This window comes from Homo sapiens, chromosome 22 (assembly GCF_000001405.40).
Source record: "Homo sapiens chromosome 22, GRCh38.p14 Primary Assembly".
Lineage (NCBI taxonomy): Eukaryota > Metazoa > Chordata > Mammalia > Primates > Hominidae > Homo > Homo sapiens.
The window spans coordinates 19406435-19424655 of NC_000022.11; the positions used below are offsets into that span (position 1 = coordinate 19406435).

An 18221-nucleotide genomic window follows, 5' to 3' on the forward strand; every position below is an offset into this window, starting at 1 on the left:
CTATAGGTACTAGCCCCCACCACAGGAGCCAGAGGAGCATCAATCACCTGGGGCCTGGTGGAGGCAGTGCTGACACACCGATGATCAGAGCCTCTGATAACACCTTTTGCTCTTGTAGAGCTCATCACAAATCCACAGAAAGAGTGTGCTGAGATAGCCAAGTAGGCTGAAGAGACAGCCTCTGCCTCTGCTCTTGAAGCCACAGCCACAGGGCCACTCTTGGTGAGCAATGGTGCAGGGTCTGGTGCCCCAGACTGACTGGCCCAGAGACCTGGGAGCAATAGTTTTCCAGGTGATGGTTAGCTCCTTTTGAGAGTAGAGCAGAGGCTGCCCCAGGTGGGGACCAACAGAGAATAAAGTAATGGCAAAGAGGCTGGACTCTGGATCCCCTGCCCCAGATCCTGGGCAAGAACCAGAGCACCCTGACTTTTAACCATTTTGTATATTGGGCTTCCATGTGAAATTTCACTTGAAAAAACAAAAGCAACGAAGCCCCACCCACATCGGCACTAGAAGAGATCAGACTTTCCTTTTCAGGTGAGAGCCTGCAGTCCTGTGAGGGGGCAGCTGACCAGGTCTCCTGAATTCCTGGTCAGGCTCCACCTGCTCCTGACCTACATGCACTTTCCACTACTTATGAGGTCAGGGCTATGGGAACTTCAGTGACAGGGTAGGGAAAGGTGACTTTGATAAAGACCAGCAAAGCAGCTTCTAAAAATAAAATGTGAAGAAAGGAAAATGATGCTTACGTAGCCCGCTTCCACACCATAATCAGTTTGTCATCTCCCCCAGAAGCTAAATACATCCCACTGTTTGACCACCGCACACAGTTCACACATGCTGGGAAGAAAAAAAAATAAGGTGATGAAAATCCAGTAGTCATGCCCATTTGCTTTATGTAGAGTTTGGCAAGATGTAAAGGGTTTATAAAATCTAATCTATCTAATCTATTTAAGGCATCTACTGTGTGAGAGCCCCAGAAAAACAATTCAGTTTAAGCACTAACCTACTTGTGCTATAAAAACAAATTACCAGAACAGTCTGGAGGGGGAAAAATATACATTATCTGAGAATCGTTAGTGCTGAATGACATAGTCAATAGAAGGCTTCTTTCTAAGAAAATCAAAAAATGATAACCAAATCTCATTATTTCAAAAGGGTCATCTATTAATGAGACACATTTCTGAGTAGAGATTATTCTCAAAAAAAGAGTACGTGCTAAAAAGGGTCAGATGCTTTTTCTAGATTTTTCAGATGAACAGTCTGTTACAGTATAAAACTCTGACTTCATCTCATCTGTCAGAGCCAGCCCTGTCACATTCGGATTTTCCAAACTCGCCAGCACTGCAGATTGACTGACTCTGCGCTTATAAGCTAAGATCAGCAGAAATTCCCCCAGGCCCCTGATGGGCCAGAGCCTCCAAGAGCACTCACAACTTGGCCTTTGGAAGACCTGAAAGATGGCTATCAAAGTTGTAGCCCCCACATGGCCCGTGAGTAACATGCTCCAGGTCTGAAGACACTGAGAGGCATGTTGAGAGGACAAGAACACACAGAGGAAAGGAAGGAGCTGATGTCCAAAGGCCAGTGACTGTTCATTAAGCATCTCAGGGGTGGGAAACTAAGGCACTACAGCAGGAAAGGAAACCATCACACTGTCTGATGGCCAAAAGGGTCCTGGCAGAGAGCCTCAGAGTGACACAGTAACAACCTGAGATGTTTTGGCAAATTGTCTCTTGCGCACCCTTCCCCAGAACCCTACTGTGTCCAGGTCGCTGGCCCCAAAGCCCCATGGAATCAGGCAGTAACGACTCATGAGCAGGAAATCACCAGAGGTACCTGCAGACTGTCCAAAGATGGTTCTGTGGGCGGGCCGAGTCTTCTGCTGAATAACTCACCCAGGTGTGCAGCCAACATCTGTGCCTTCAGACAGCAGGCCGAGGGGAGTTACCGCCGCACGGGGCCTTATCTTTCTAATTACAAACACATGTGCTAACCTTGGGCACTCTGCCAACACGCAAAGCCTGCAAAGGGCCACTCTGTAATACCTAAGTGATTGTCCATCTGGCAAAGCATCTTGGGAATATTTTCATCCTTCTCGTCATCCTCCTGGAGGACTGGAGACATATTCCAGATCACAACCTTCCCAGAATCCTGCCCTGGAACAAAGGAGCAGAAATGGCTGAATGTGCAAGGAGTAGAAATTTGATATTAATATTTAATGTCAAATTAAATTAGGAGAAGTCCTCACTTAGCTTCCATAAACAATAATTAACTAGATCTAAGGAGACTGAATTTAAATTACTAATTTAAGTTACAGAAAAGATGATAAGTACTCATGGGGACGAAACGGAGCGGACTTAGCAGTCAGCAGAAGTCAACCTGACTTTACAAAAAGAACTTTAGACTAGCAATCAGGAGGGAACTGAGCTCTGATCTGGCCTCTAACACGGATCCACCAGGGGTCCCTAAAAGGTCTTCATCCCTGCCCAGCACCTAGACTCCGACTCCTTGACTCCTCATCTGTGAAATGAGGAGAAGGGAAAGTCAATGTCATAAGACCTTTTCTGTTCTGTGTACACCCTAAAAAGCAAACAGAAAAGCACACCCTAGTGGGGTTTCCCTCCCCTTCCAGGTGCTGCCTGGAATTTAGGCTGTTCCAGAGCCGACTGTTTTGAGACCCAAATGTACCCTGAACACAGGAAAAATGGCTCATTATCTTGTTATCCACCCTTTGCAGTTACCTACAGACGAGAGACCACCAAAAGAGGGGATTTAGGGCTCCCGTGGTCATGAGTTGATGTATTGCTCGGCTAAAAAATATACCCATGCCTTTTAGTAATGATTTCTTTTCTTTTTTTTTTTTTGAGATGGAGTCTCACTCTGTCTCCCAGGCTGGAGTGCAGTGGCACGATCTCGGCTCACTGCAACCTCCGCCTCGCAGGTTCCAGCGATTCTCCTATCTCAGCCTCCCGACTAGCTGGGATTACAGGCGAACACCATGACACCTAGCTAATTTTTGTATTTTTAGTAGAGACGGGGTTTCGCCATGTTGGCCAGGCTGATTCGAACTCCTGACCTCAGATGATTCGCCTGCCTTGGCCTCCCAAAGTGCTGAAATCACAGGCGTGAGCCACCGTGCCCAGCCTTAGTAATGATTTCTAAGCTTTCCATCACTGATATCTAACGAAGTTTAGCCCCTCACTTAATTTTCCTATTATAATAGGGCCAAATCCAATGAACATGCCAAAATTACCATAAAGCATGTTTGAAACTGCCTCTTGGCCAATATGTAAAAGTATTTCCAAAACATCTCTGCTGGACCAAGGTGGCAAAATGTGTGTCTTCTGGGTACAGGTGCGAACCCTCTGATTCCTTCAGCTAAGTCCATGTGTTCTCTCTCATGTGCTGCACCTCCTCCTCTCGGGTGCAGTCCACAGCATGGAAGGAGAGAAAGGCTTCCCTGCCCACAGCTTCCCTACACTCCCTTCCAGCTCCTTGATTCTGGGTGGAAGCATCTGCTGGAAACCCACCCTGCAGCACCTGGCCTGAGGACCTAGAGCTCACAAAGGCACTCTCTAAGTGCTGCCTGGGGAGGCCTGGTTGGAGGGAGGCCCCGCTCTGGGGTAAAGATGACAGAGGGCTGGGCTCTGTGGAATGCTACATTGTGTCACTATATATACATCTTGGTATTGTGGCATGAAGAACAGCTCTGTCTTTCCAAATAGAACCATGCAACATTGCAAAAGATGCTGGCTGAAGCATAAGGGCAATACTACCAATAACAGTTTCAAATGGTGTGGGCTTTCTTACTTGCCCACAGTGTGCTTTCTCTTTAACCTAACTGAATTCCTTTGACGAGAAAATGGGCCTAATAACTACACGATTGCTTTAGAAGCTTAAATTACCCTCATTCCCTTTTTTCAGATGAGAAAAATGCTGACAGAGCCCTTGTCTCTGGGGCTGGGCTTTGCCCACTGGACCACCTACCGCTCTCGATGCTCTACAAGTTTGGGGATACAAACTGATTTTAATATTAACTCAATAAACAGAAATTAGAATGATACATCCGCTGCCAAAATACTTACAGAGAGCACACTAAAGCCATAAAAGGATTTTGATTTTATTCATTCAGATAACACATTATAACTGTACATTTTAAACAGCGTTGCATCCATCCTGAAAAATAGCAAGTATTCCCTCTACAGCTAAATGGACAGCAGGAGAAGAGCAAGGTGGCAGGGCTGTTAAGCTTTCCCTTTCTTTATTCCATAAACATACCTTGTCCTCCAGTTGCGAACTTGGTCCCGTCAGGGTGAATATCAACTGAAAAAATCGGCTTGCCTGGAAACAAAGAAAAAAAAATACAGTATCTAAATTGGCTTTTATTCATTGAAGTGTATCAAACTCAACAGATTCAGTTAAAGTCTAAACTGCTAGAAGATTCTCCAAACATCAGACAACTGAAAGTCCAACAGTGGGAGAAAGCATTCCATCACTGAGAATGGCTGAGCCCATAGGATGCCTGGGCATTTGTCTGCCATCTTGTAGGGATGTGTGTTTGTAATGGCTATGAGCTGTTCATGATTGAAGTTCTGAGTCTCAGGTACTTAGTGAAAAGGGCACACAGCTGTAACTCCAGACATCTCCCTATTGCATGGATCTGCACTTGACTGGCAGCCTAGACAGAAGGACTGCTATTTGTCTTTTCTGGCTGACAGCTGAGCAGGACCAGCGCTGGCTGCAACCAAGGAGCATTGCTTCGCTTGTCATACTTCTGCTTCCAAACAGCCCTCTTTTGTTTGTGCTGTGAAGTTCCCATACCGTCTGCCATCTCAGCATCTCCTCTGGCTGAACCTCCTTCACAGTTTGTACTCTATGTTAAATTAGCTGTTCAATTCCTCCAGGAGAAAGGACTGTGGCTATTAGTTCTTAGAAGCCCCAAAGAGCCCAGTATGGGCCTAGGCTTGCACTAGGATCCCATGAAGCTAGCTGGCTGGCTGGGTGGGTGGATCAGACCGGCAAAAGCACTGTAGGAGCTTGAAACCCAGCAGACCATAGAAGGCACTCACGCCTGGTGGGCATTTGTCCAGCTCCCTGCTTCTAGGACAAAGGTTTAAGAGCTACAAGTGGCATGTCAGTTGCTGTTGAGTTCATCACATCTTCAGCCTCTAGCACAGTACCCAGTGTACAGTAGCGCAGTAATATTTGTTCATTGACAAAGGAGATACATGACAATGATCTGAGCATCAACAATTGCTGATATAGATGGGCTGTTGCCAAGAGTCTCTTAATTGAACATGTTCTGTCTCTGTCACCCAAGAGGAGGCAATGTGGACACAGTACCAGAGTCACCAGCCCTAGAATCACTCAGCAAGTACTGGGATCAGGAGTGTGTGGGCAGGCAGTGGCTGTCTGAGAACTGTGAAGTCCTGCCAGGGCTCCCATGCAAGTGTGAAAATTAAATGCTGGTGCCCAAAAGGCACTGCCCAGCATGGGACCCAGGCAGCACCCAGCTGTGGAGAGCCGCAGCCATGTAGTCAAATCAAGCATGAACTTGAGATAAAATACACTTTCCTTCTTACTGGTCACTATGTAGTATAGGTTGAGTATCCCTTATCTGAAACACCTGGGACCCGTTTTAACCAAAGGGAAATGACAGAAGTAATGTTGCTCCAGTTCCAGGTGTAGGCCTTAAGAGTCTAGCAGTTCAACTTTGGCTCTCTGGAGAAACCTAGTTGTCATGTGAGAAGTCCAAGTACCCTGAGACCACCATGTTTTGAAGAGGCCCAAGCTGGCCACATGTAGAGCATCAAAGAGCCCGGACAAGTGAGAATCAAGGTCACAGACACAGGCCTGGTGAGGTGTTCTATCCCCAAGCTATTCGAGCCATCCCAGCAGATTCCATAGAGCCAAGATGAGCTGAACCTGCTAAGTCCTGACAAGCTGCAGAATTATGAGCAAATAATAAAACTGTTATTGGTTTAAGCCAGCAAATTTAGGGGTTTGTCATATAAGAGATAAACCAAAATGCCAATTCATTTGCTTTTCTGCTTAAGCCAGCTTGAGCTGGGCATTTGTCATTTTAACAAAAAATGTTCTAGCTGACAGCTTTGGTCTTGACGGGCAATCAGGGCGGAACATTCCCCTCCCCTTGGAGTGCTTTTCAGTTCCATAAGTCTGTGAGACATTGTATTACATCAGTCCCCTCAAGAAGCACACCAGAAACCCTTACCTGCAAGTCACAGTTCCCCTGACTACCCAAGAGCACGTACAGGCTGAGCCAGGCTGTGCTGAGGGCTCAGCTGCACAAGTAACCAATTACAGCCCATGCGCTTTAGATCATGCCCACTCACAGCATCAACTGCATGTTTTCTCACTCAGTCTCTGTTTGCAGATTTCTACTATGTGCCAGGCATTAGGCTAAGCAATGAGAAAGTAAAGATACATAATCATACAAACTCCCCTAGTAAGATGTCCACTGATGGACACTTCACAAGCAGAAAGCCACCTGACTCAGCCTCGGGCTTCCTGCAGAAATAATAACTGAATTGGGTCCCAAGGGTTGAGTAAGAGTTAGCCAGAAGATCGGGTGAAGGAGAGGGTTTTCAGGCTGAGGGGACGCACGGCATGGAATCAAGAAATAGGCTGATGTAATGTTGCAGAGCAGACTGCAGGTAGAGAGTGTGAGAAAGAAGAGGAGACAGAGATGGCTCAGCAAGCATCAGTAAGGAGCTGAGACATTTCTCTAAAGGTACTTTCAAGGCAGGGTAATGCCAAGGTCAGATTCACATTCTGGCTCCACAATAGCAGTGTGGAAAATGGGGGTGGGGGCCTCAAGGCTCCAGGGGAAGGCAGGGATGGAGGCTGGCAACAAGTTTGGGTTTTGGCATTAAACATCATGGGCTGAATCTTTAGCCCTGCCACTTACCCAGCTACAAAGCCTTGAGATTTTATTTTATTTTATTTTTATTATTTTGAGAAGGCGTGCCTGGTTCATTGGCACCAGGTTTCCTTTCCTAGTGCTATGCAGATTAGATGAAATATGGTAGGGGACCTACACAGATACCAGCGCAGTGCTGGCTCCCCGCCTCCTTACAGCACTAGGCCTTTCCATCCCAAGGAAAGCAGTCACTCACATTCCATTAGTGGGAATGAAACTATTTATTTATTTATTTATTTATTTATTTATTTATAGACAGAGTTTCGCTCTGTCGCCCAGGCTAGAGTGCAGTGGCGTGATCTCCACTCACTGCAAGCTCCGTCTCCCAGGTTCACGCCATTCTCCTGCCTCAGCCTCCTGAATAGCTGGGACTACAGGTGCCTGCTACCACGCCCAGCTAATTTTGGTATTTTTAGTAGAAACAGGGTTTCACCATGTTAGCCAGGATGGTCTCGATCTCCTGACCTCATGATCCGACCACCTCAGCCTCCCAAAGTGCTGGGATTACAGGGGTAATCCCGGCCACCGTGCCCGGCCAGGAATGAACCTCTTCTAAAGGGCTCTCTGAGGTGGAGCTAAGGAAAGGGACCTTCTGGCTGAGCTAGTTAGACAACTCTTCCTGTGGCACAGCATGATGATGACAAAGATGAGTTCCCAACTACCTCCAGTGTCTGGCCTTTCTTTGTAATAGAGACAGAAAGAAAAGACAAATTAACACACCCTAGACTCTAGAGACACCAAGCAATCACCTATCCTTAGATCAACCCCAGATCAGAATGTTGTCCCTGCACACCCAATACACAGCCAATATAGTCAGCCACTGTCTACTGTCTGGGGATTTGCTGATTTGACAAGAGCAGCACAAATGCTTTCCACCTGGCAGGGAATAAAGAATACATTAAGGAAGCTGGGATTATGACAGGGCATGCTCAGGTAGAATCGTACCCTCCTTCACACTAGGGGAAAGATTCCTAGAAGAGGACTAAACATGGGAACTTAAACTCTGAGCACAGAGAGGTGGCCAGAGGCAAAGCAGAGAGGGCACAATGGAGAGCTGCTGGCCCTTCCCTCTCAGCAGTCCCACAGACCTTTGGTTTGGCTCCAAAAAGTCTCTGGGCTTTTATGTTCTGATAGTTCATTGGGTAGAGCTGACTGGAACACATGTGCATATGTCCTTTTGGAATGAAGCTTGGGAAAGTTGAGGCTTTTGCCCAGTGAATGTTGCTCCTGGGAACACTTCCTGCACTGCCCAATAGAACTTGGTTTTAACCAATGTTGACAAATTTAGAATTAAAAATAAGAAAATGTTTGAAACATTTATTAAATGAAACAGTTACAGAACAATACTAAAATATAAGGTGGGGCCGGTCATGGTGGCTCACGCCGGTAATCCCAGCACTTTGGGAAGCCAAGGCAGGTAGATCACTTGAGGTCAGGAGTTTGAGACCAGCCTGACCAACAGGCGCACCATTGCACTCCAGCCTGGGTGACAGAGTGAGACTGTCTCAAGAAACAAAACAAAACAAAAAATATATAAGGTGGGTGCAAACAACACAAACTTATTTATTTATTTATTTATTTATTTTGAGACGAAATCTCACTCTGTCACCCAGGCTGGAGTGCAGTAACGCAATCTCAGCTCACTGCAACCTCTACCTCCTAAGTTCAAGCGATTCTCCTGCCTCAGCCTCCCGAGTAGCTGGGACTATAGGTGTGTGCCACCATGCCTGGCTAAAAAGTGCTGGAATTACAGGCTTGAGCCACCCCGCCCAGCTACAAACAACATAATCTTAAATGTAGAAAACCCTAAAAATTCCACAGAAAAACTATTAGTGCTAATAATGAATTCAGCAAAGTTGCAGGATACAAAATCAACAAACAAAAGTCATCTGCATTTCTATACACCAACAATGAACAATCTGAAAGGGAAATTAAGAAAACAATTCAATTTACAACAGAATCAAAATGAATAAAATTTGTAGGAATAAACTTAGCCCAGGAGGCGAAAGACTTGTACACTGAAACTATAAAATATAAAACACTGCTGAAGGAAATCAAAGACACAAATAAATGAAAAAACATTATATATGTACTCATGGACTAGAAGATTTAATAACTTTAAGATGTTAGGCTGGGCACAGTGGCTCATGCCTGTAATCCCAGCACTTTGGGAGGCTGAGGTGGGTGGATCACATGAGGTTGGGAGTCCAAGACCAGCCTGATCAACATGGAGAAACCCTGTCTCTACTAAAAATACAAAAATTGGCCGGACATGGTAGCACATGCCTATAATCCCAGCTACTTGGGAGGCTGAGGCAGGAGAATTGCTTGAACCCGGGAGGTGGAGGTTGCAGTGAGCCAATTTTGTGCCATTGCACTCCAGCCTGGGCAACAAGAGTGAAACTCCGTCTCAAAAAAAAAAGATGTCAAAACTCTTAAAAGTGATTTGTAGGCTTAATGCAATCCCTATGAAAATCCCAATGGTACTTTCTGCAGAAATAAAAAAAAAAATCGATCCCAAAATTCACATGGAATCTTAAGGGACTCTGAACAGTCAAAAGAATCTTCAAAAAGTACAAAGTTGAGGATCTCGCATTTCCTTATTTCAAAACTTACTACAAAGCTACAGTAATCAGAACAGTGAAGTACAGGCATAGACAGACACCTAGAACAACAGAATACAGAGCCCAGAAATAAACTGTTGTGTATATGATCAAATGATTTTGACAAGGGGCCAAGACCATTCAATGGGGAAAGAACAGTCTCTTTTACAAATGGTGCTGCGAAAACTGCACATGCAAAAGAATGAAGTTGGATCCCTATCTCATACCATATACAATTAACTCAAAATGGATCAAAGACCTGCATATATATCTTAGAAGGAAACATAGGGGAAAAGCTTCACAAGATTGGATTTGGCAGTAATTTCTTTTTCTTTTTTCTTTCTTTCTTTTCTTTTTTTTTGAGACAGCACCTCATTCTGTCGCCCAGGCTGGAGTGCAGTGGTATGATCTTGGCCCACTGCAGCCTCAACCTTCCAGGCTCAAGCAACCCTCCCACCTCAGTCTCCTGAGTAGTTGGGGACTGAGGGCACAACCACGCCTGGTGCGCACCACCACGCCTGGCTAATTTTTGTATTTCTTGTAGAGATGGGGTTTCACCATGTTGCCCAGACTGGTCTCAAACTCCTGAGTTCAAGCGATCTGCTACCTTTACGTCCCAAAGTGCTAGGATTATAGGCGTGCACCACTGCATCTGACCATGAATTTGGCAATAATTTCTTAGATATGAGACTAAAGGCACAGACAATAAAAGAAAAATAAACTGAACTTTATCAAAATTAAAAACTTTTGTGCATCAAAGGAAAATATCAACAGAATAAAAAGGCAACCCATAGAATGGGAGAAATATCTGCAAATTACATATCTGATAAGGGATTAATGTCCAGAATATATAGAGAAATCCTGAAACTCAACAACGTGACTCAAAATTGGGCAAATAACTTGAACAGGCATTTCTCCAAAGAAGATATACAAATGAGGCACGGTGCAATGGCTCACATCTGTAATCCCAGCACTTTGGGAGGCTGAGGTGGGTGGATCACCTGAGGTAAAGAATTCAAGACCAGCCTGGCCAACATGGTGAAACCCCATCTCTTCTAAAACTACAAAAATTAGCCAAGCGTGGTGGTGGGTGCCTGTAGTCCTATCTACTCTGGAGGCTGAAGCAGGAGAATCACTTGAACCCAGGGGGCAGAGGTTGCAGTGAGCTGAGATCGTGCCATTGCACTCCAGCCTGGGCGACAGTGTGAGACTCTGTCTCAAAAAAGAAAAGAAAAGAAAAGAAAAGATACACAAATAACCAACAAGCACATGAAAAGATGTCAACATCAGTAACCAGTAGAGAAATGCAAGTCAAAACCACAATTACGTATTACCTCACATCCATTAAGATGGCTACTAACGGCTGGGTGCGGTGGCTCATGCCTGTAATCCCAGCACTTTGAGAGGCTAAGGTGGGTGGATCAAGAGGTCAAGAGATCAAGACCATCCTGGCCAACATGGTGAAACCCCATCTCTACTAAAAATACAAAAATTAGCTGGGCATGGTAGCGTGTGCCTGTAGTCCCAGCTACTCGGGAGGCTGAGGCAGGAGAATCACTTGAACCTGGGAGGCGGAGGTTGCAGTGGGCCAAGATCCCGCCACTGCACTCCAGCCTGGAGACACAGTGAGACTCCGTCTCAAAAAAAATAAATAAATAAAAAGATGGCTACTTACAAAAAACCTCAGGAAATAAGTGTTGATGAGGGTGTACAGAAATTGTAACTCTTGTTAAAAATATAATTACCATATGACCTGGCAATTATACTTCTGGGTATATAACCAAAAGAAAGGGTCTTGAAGAGCTATTTGTACACCCATGTTCATAGCAGTACTATTCACTACAGCCAAGAGGTGGAAGCAACCCAAGTGTCCCTTGACCGATGAATGGATGAACAAAATGTGGTATATATCCATACAATGGAATATTATTTAGCCTTAAAAAGGAAAGTAGTTCTGATGCACACTACAATGTGGATGAACCTCAAAGACATTATGGTAAGTGAAAAAAGACAAATGTCATAGGATTCCACTTATATGAGCTATCTATGAATAGTCAAATTCATAGAAACACAAAGTAGAATGGTGGTTGCCTACGTCTGAGTTGAGGGGAAAATAGGGAGTTGTTGCTTAATTGGTATAAAGGTTTGCAAGATGAAAATGTTCCGGAGACTGGCTGCACAATAATGTGAATTGTGACAGTACTGAATTACATACTTAAAAATGATTAAGATAGTAAATTTTATATTGTGAATATCTGACCACAATTTTTAAAATGCTAATAAAAACCAAACAAAACCAAAAATAAAAATAAATAAAATGGAGGAGTGTAGGAGGGAGGTGGGTGTAATTATAAAAATTGTTGGCGGGGTGCGGTGGCTCACACCTGTAATCCCAACACTTTGGGAGGCTGAGGCGGGTGGATCATGAGGTCAGGAGATTGAGACCATCCTGACTAACACGGTGAAACCCCGTCTCTATTAAAAATACAAAAAAAAAAAATTGCCAGGCATGGTGGTGGCAGGCGCCTGTAGTCCCAGCTACTTGGGAGGCTGAGGCAGGAGAATGGCATGAACCTGGGAGGCGGAGCTTGCAGTGAGCCGAGATCGCGCCTGTTCCAGCCTGGGCAACAGAGCGAGACTCTGTCTCAAAAAAATAAAAATAAAAAATATATAAAAATTGTTGGAACTGTTCAGCATCTCGACTGCAGTGGTAGATACATGAACCTGCACAGGTGACAAAATTGTATAGAACTAAACATACACACGCACAAATAAGTACAAACAAAACTGGGGAAATAAATTTTAAAAAATAGGTAGCATATGTCAATGTCAACTATAGTTTTGCAAAATGTTAACATTGGGAGAAACTGGACTAAGTCCAGAAGTACCTTCTCAGTATTTCATACAATTCGGTGTGAATCTATAATCATCTCGATAAGAAATAAACACACACACACACACACACACACACAAGGCCTGTTTTTAAAAAACGATATATATGTGTGTGTACTAATATATAAGGCAGTAGAGGTAAATATCCAAACACCAGAGGTTAGGTCATAATAAAAATGATTCTTTTCATGTGCAGGTGACAATATGCACACTCTATAACAAGCAATCCCTCTGGAGAAACTCATCAGCCAAACACACTAATGTGACCTATATGCAAGTAACTCCTATGGCTGACTGCCTTCTAGACACCTCACCCTGATCTTCTCTATAACGGTCTGATCTTTCCAAGAAACCTGCTCTACCCACTGTCTGCCCCAACACAGTTAAGGCCAGACCTTGAGAGGAGAGGCCAACAATCCTTGCACAATGGCCACCCCGCCCCCACGACTTTTCTGACCTCATCTCCTACTAACCCCCACCATCGCTGGTCTTCCTCTTTTCTTGGACTGTACCAGGTGCGCTCCTATCTTGGGCCTTGTACTGACTCTTCCTTGCCTCCTTCAGGTCTTTGCTCAATGTCACCCTCACATTGAGGCCTACTCTAACAACTTTAATTTAAAGGATTATTTCCCCAATGTGGCACAACAAATCCCCTTAGTCCTGATCTATTTATTTCCTCGGGAATTTCTTACATATTAATTTCCTTTATTGTATGTCTGTCTACTCTGCCCACTAGAATGTAAACTCCAGTAAGTAGATCAGCTCTTTTGTCTGTTTTATTCACTAATTCATCCTCAGGACCCAGAGCTGTGGCTTGGCACATAACAGGCACAACAATAAAAACTTGTTGCTGTTGAATGGCTGGAGAAAGCTCATGACAGAAGCACTACATTCAAACACCTTCAGTATCACTGGTGTAACAATCTTTGGAAGGCAGGCTCCTGATCTACTGCTGTGGGGACTCAGATTTCGCCAACTGCCTGCAGGTGGGAAGCACACCCTTGGCTGGTTCACAGCCATCTGCTGCTGTTATCTCTACCACTTTCGACCACAAAAACTTATCCCCATCTTCTTTAGTAAGCATGACACAATGACATCTCATAGGTGTCAGATGCCTAAGAGATTGAAAACATAGCACAGGAAGGAAGCTGTTGCACCATACAACCATTGTGTGTGTGTGTGTGTGTGTGTGTGTGTGCACGCGCCACAAACTAAAGTGGAAAAGTGTCACAGGTATATCATTTAGGAGACCTTAATCACTTCTCCTGAAGCATCTGCCAACATATAATCAACAAAGTTTTGAGATTGGGCGCAGTGGCTCACTCCTGTAATCCCAGCACTTTGGGAGGCCAAGGCAGGCAGATCACTTGCTCTGAGGAATTCGAGACCACTTTAGGCAACATGGTGAACCCCATCTCTACAAATTAAAAACAAAAAACAAAAATTACCCAGTAGTGGTGGTGCAAGCCTGTAGTCTCAGCTACTCAGGAGGCTGAGGTGGGAGGATCTATTGAGCTCGGGAGGTCGAGGCTGCAGTGAGCCGTGATCACGCCACTGCACTGCAGCCTGGGCAACAAAAAAAACTGTCTCAAAAAAAAAAAAAAAAAAACCAAACCAAAACAAAAAACAAACAAACAAACAAAACCCCAAAAAACAAAAAAGTTTTGACGAAAGGCATTTCTGTTTCTTAATACTTCTTTCCCCCCTCATTTTGCAAAACAGAGGTATTCCCTAAAAAGTATCTGCACAGGAGGATTGCTTGAGCCCAGGAGCTCAAGGCTGCAGTGAACTATGGTCATGCCACTGTACTCCATTCTGAGCGACAAAGTAAGACCTTGTCTTTAAAAAAAAAAGTTATCTGCAAGGGTACAATGTATATTATTCAGGTGATGGTTGCACTAAAAGCCCAGACTTCATCACTAAGCAATATATCCATGTAACAAAACTGCACTTACATCCCTTAAATTTAACAACAAAAAGTTATCTGCAAAATGTACTCCTATAAATCTAGTCCCTTCCACCTACTTCCATTAGAAAATTAAAAGCTACATTTCCATAGTGGGAAAAATCTGCTAGCTCAACAATAACCACAATTAAGAAGACAACAAACCTACAATACTATTTAAGTGAAAAATGCACAGCAGGCTGGGCGCAGTGGCTCACGCCTGTAATCCCAGCACTTTGGGAGGTCGAGGCGGGTGGATCACCTGAGGTCAGGAGTTCAAAACCAGCCTGGCCAACATGGTGAAACCCCATCTCTACTAAAAATACAAAAAATTTATTGGGTGTGGTGGCAAGTGCCTGTAATCCCAGCTAATCGGAAGGCTGAGGCAGGAGAATCGCTTGAACCCTGGAGGCAGAGATTGCAGTGAGCCGAGGTTGCACCATTGCACTCCAGCCTGGGCAACAAAAGCGAAACTCCGTCTCAAAAAAAAAAAAAAAAATGCACAGCAACATTTTAGCTATGCCAGTTATCTGTACAATGCAAGGTCTGTAAGGGAGGCTACACACCAAAGACATTGGATTTGCTATGGTGACTGATGGGGATTTGGTTAAAGTCTTAAAAAAATTCAGACACTTGTATAATGTGCATACACTAAATGCGTCTTCTAAAATCACAAAATCACCCAGTTGTTTTTTTCCAAATGGTTTGAAAGACCACATTAAAAGTTTTAACAATGTGTTTTCCTTTGTGCATTTTCTAATTTTTCCTAACTTCTTTCACAGTCTTACTGAGCTCAGTAGATAGCAACTCTGCCCTTAGACTGGAACTCATCCTTCTGTTCTCTCTTAACTCTTTTGTGTGTGTGTGTGTATGAGATGGAGTCTTGCTCTGTCACCCAGGCTGGACCGCAGTGATGCGACCTCAGCTCACTGCAACCTCCCACTCTGGGTTTCAAGCAATTCTCCTGCCTCAGCCTCCCGAGTTGCTGGGACTACAGGTACATGCCACCACACCTGGCTAATTTTTGTATTTTTAGTAGAGACGCATTTTTGCCATGTTGGCCAGACTGGTCTTGAACTCCTAACCTCAAGTGATCTGCCTGCCTTGGCCTCCCAAAGTGCTGGGATTACAGGTGTGAGCCACCATGCCCGGCCTGTTCTATCTTATCTCATACCCCATATTTGACCCTACCTTCCCAACATACCCATAACCCAAACTTTCAGGAGAGATGCAAATGTTCCTTAACTTTATCAGGGAACAGGTTACAAAGTACATTAACTTGTCAAAAGTCAACACATTATACATTTAAGGTCTGGACATTTTATTTATACCTGAAAAGAATGTGTTTATATATACACACACACACACACACACACATACACATATATATATATACATATATATATTACATATACATATAAACACATATATACATGTAATGTATTACATAAACACACACACACACAGAGTCTCCCCCACCAGCTCCAACCATTTCTTGCCATCACAGCCATCACCATCCTGATCCAGACCATCTCTTGCTTGGATTACTACCAGTAGTTGGCATTATAACTGGTCTCCTGGCTCCTCCCTCCCTCTGGTCCCCCACAACCAATCTAGTCTCCACGTAGCAGTCAGAAAGATCTCTAAAACTCACGTCAGATCACAGTAGTCCTCTGCTCCCCTTGCAGTGAGAATCAAGGCCTTCTAGTAGCCTACTAGGCTCTCCCAATCAGTCTGCTATTCACTCTCTGGCCTCCTCTCTCACAGCCCTTGCCTTGCTCCAACCACAATGACATCTGTGCTACTGCTCAAACCCTCCAGGCAAGTTCCAGCTCTTCTTTCTGCCTGGAATGCTCTTCCCTCAGATGGCACCTTCCTCATCTCCATGAGGCCTGCAGCGAATGCTGTGGTATCATGCCCAGGTCCCTACCCTCCAGGGACTAAAGCACACTCCCATAGCTATCTGTGGAGTGTTGGCAGCCCCAACAGCTCCCTGTAGTCTTCCTCCAGGTCAGACCTGCCCTCAGTGGAAGCACTCTTTTGGCAGGGTCAGGTCTCCTTTCCAAAAGAGCCTATATCCAGGCTGTGGACACGGGAGTAAAGGGCCCTGGTCTCCCACCCCAATCCACGACAATTCTGAAGGGCCTCCCCAGCTACAGAACTCCCAGCAGGGCTGGCTGCGGCTTTCTCTGTGCTTACATCATAGCTTGCCTTCTCCCTCTGTCTGGTGCTGCTTCCTTCACTCCTTCAATGGTGTGGATCCCGAGAGCCCTCCCCAATAATCCTGCATGCAAAAATCTGCAGCTCAGAATCTGACTCCTGCAACAAGGCCTTTGCTCAAATGTTACCTTTTCACTCAGGCTTTGCCAAAGCGTCCCACTTAAACCCGTCTATCCCCCGCCTCTGCCTCAGCATTCCTCATCTCTAAGTCTGCTGTTTCTCCAATTCACAGGATCTTGTTTGTGATTCCGCTATGTGTCTCACCAGGAAGCTCCCCTCCCACATCTCCTCTTTTCCACTTACACAGGAAACCCCCAGCAGATCCCATCCCAGTCTCACTGGCCAGGATGCATAACAGGCTGCTCCTCAAGAGCCTGGCATGCTGCTTGGTTCACTGCTGTTTTAAGAGCTGAAAACATACACACACTGACTCACACACATGCATACACACACACACACACACACACACACACACACACACACACACATATTTTCAGCTCTTAAAACAGCAGTGAATTTATCAACTGTTTTTTCCATGTGAGACCTTCTGTTAGAGGATGCAGCAGACCTGGAGTCTGCTCCAACGTAGGTCTATCCCTGGACCTCAAATAAGGCCTGCTGTCCCTTCTGTCTGGTCTTCACCACAGTGGCTTTTGCCAGGGTAGCCTCCCAGGGAATTGGCCTACCCTAGGTTTGTTAATGCATCGAGGCAGACAATGCTTTTAGGAGCAACAAATGTTAATCTAAATGGGTTTTCTTTTTGCCAGGAGTGTTTTAAAACCATTTGCTATCTGTTTCATCCACTTCCTTTCCTAAAATGGAAGGCTCTAGAAGACAGAATCATGTAAATGAACTCCTTGGGTAAGGCTTGGGCAGAATGTTTCCCCTCATCATTGGAATTGCCAGCAGATTCCACTAGAAAGAGCCAGCCAGGATGAACAAGAAGTTTATTTGCAGTACATCAACTCTACCAGCCAAGGACAACAGACACTGTTAGCTGCCCATCCATCAGCCACTTTCCATCACCAACTTCCAGCACTCAGCACTCCTTCAACATTTACTGAGTGACTACTATGGTGTGTACCAAGTACCATTCCTGGCCCTGGGAAAAGGGCATGAGCAAAGACAAAGTCTGTTTTCCAGGAGCATATGCTCCCCCAGGGAGGTGTCTAATAGAACTCCAGTTTTATTCAGATATCCACTCTGCCCGTTATGTAAGCCAGTAGGCAACGATGATTGATGCAAGAGAGGGCACATGACCTAGTTGGACCAATCAGCCAATGGGGAAGACCCAAAGTCCAAGGCTGGGGCACAGACCTCTCCCTTCTGCTTCTCACTGAAAACATTCTCGATACCCCACAACCAGAGAACTCTTGAAAATCAAATGCCAGAAAAGGCTCACCAAGCACATTTCAAGAGAAACCTACCAGGTTAGAAGCCCCAAGGCACTCAGAATGGCTACAGAAGCAGTCAGAGGACAAGCTCCAGGGACCAGACTCCTGGTCCCATGCTGTACCACGTGGTTTCTGAAAGCTGTCCTTCTGAGGAGGAAATGGGCCTGAAGCTCTCCAGGACGGAGTGGCCAGCCTCAGCACAAAGACCAGTGCTTAGCAAATTA

General features: G+C 45.0%; 1 protein-coding gene across 1 annotated transcript in view; it reads right to left on the minus strand.

Annotated features, from left to right (window-relative positions):
* The window catches only part of HIRA (histone cell cycle regulator), a 101036-nt gene that overhangs the window by 75737 nt on the left and 7078 nt on the right, over nt 1-18221 (minus strand). The window contains exons 2-4 of the mRNA NM_003325.4: nt 4282-4344; nt 2049-2159; nt 750-840 (exon numbers count right to left, since the gene is read on the minus strand). Coding sequence (NP_003316.3) covers nt 750-840; nt 2049-2159; nt 4282-4344 — 265 coding nt within the window. The remainder of the gene's footprint in view (nt 1-749; nt 841-2048; nt 2160-4281; nt 4345-18221) is intronic.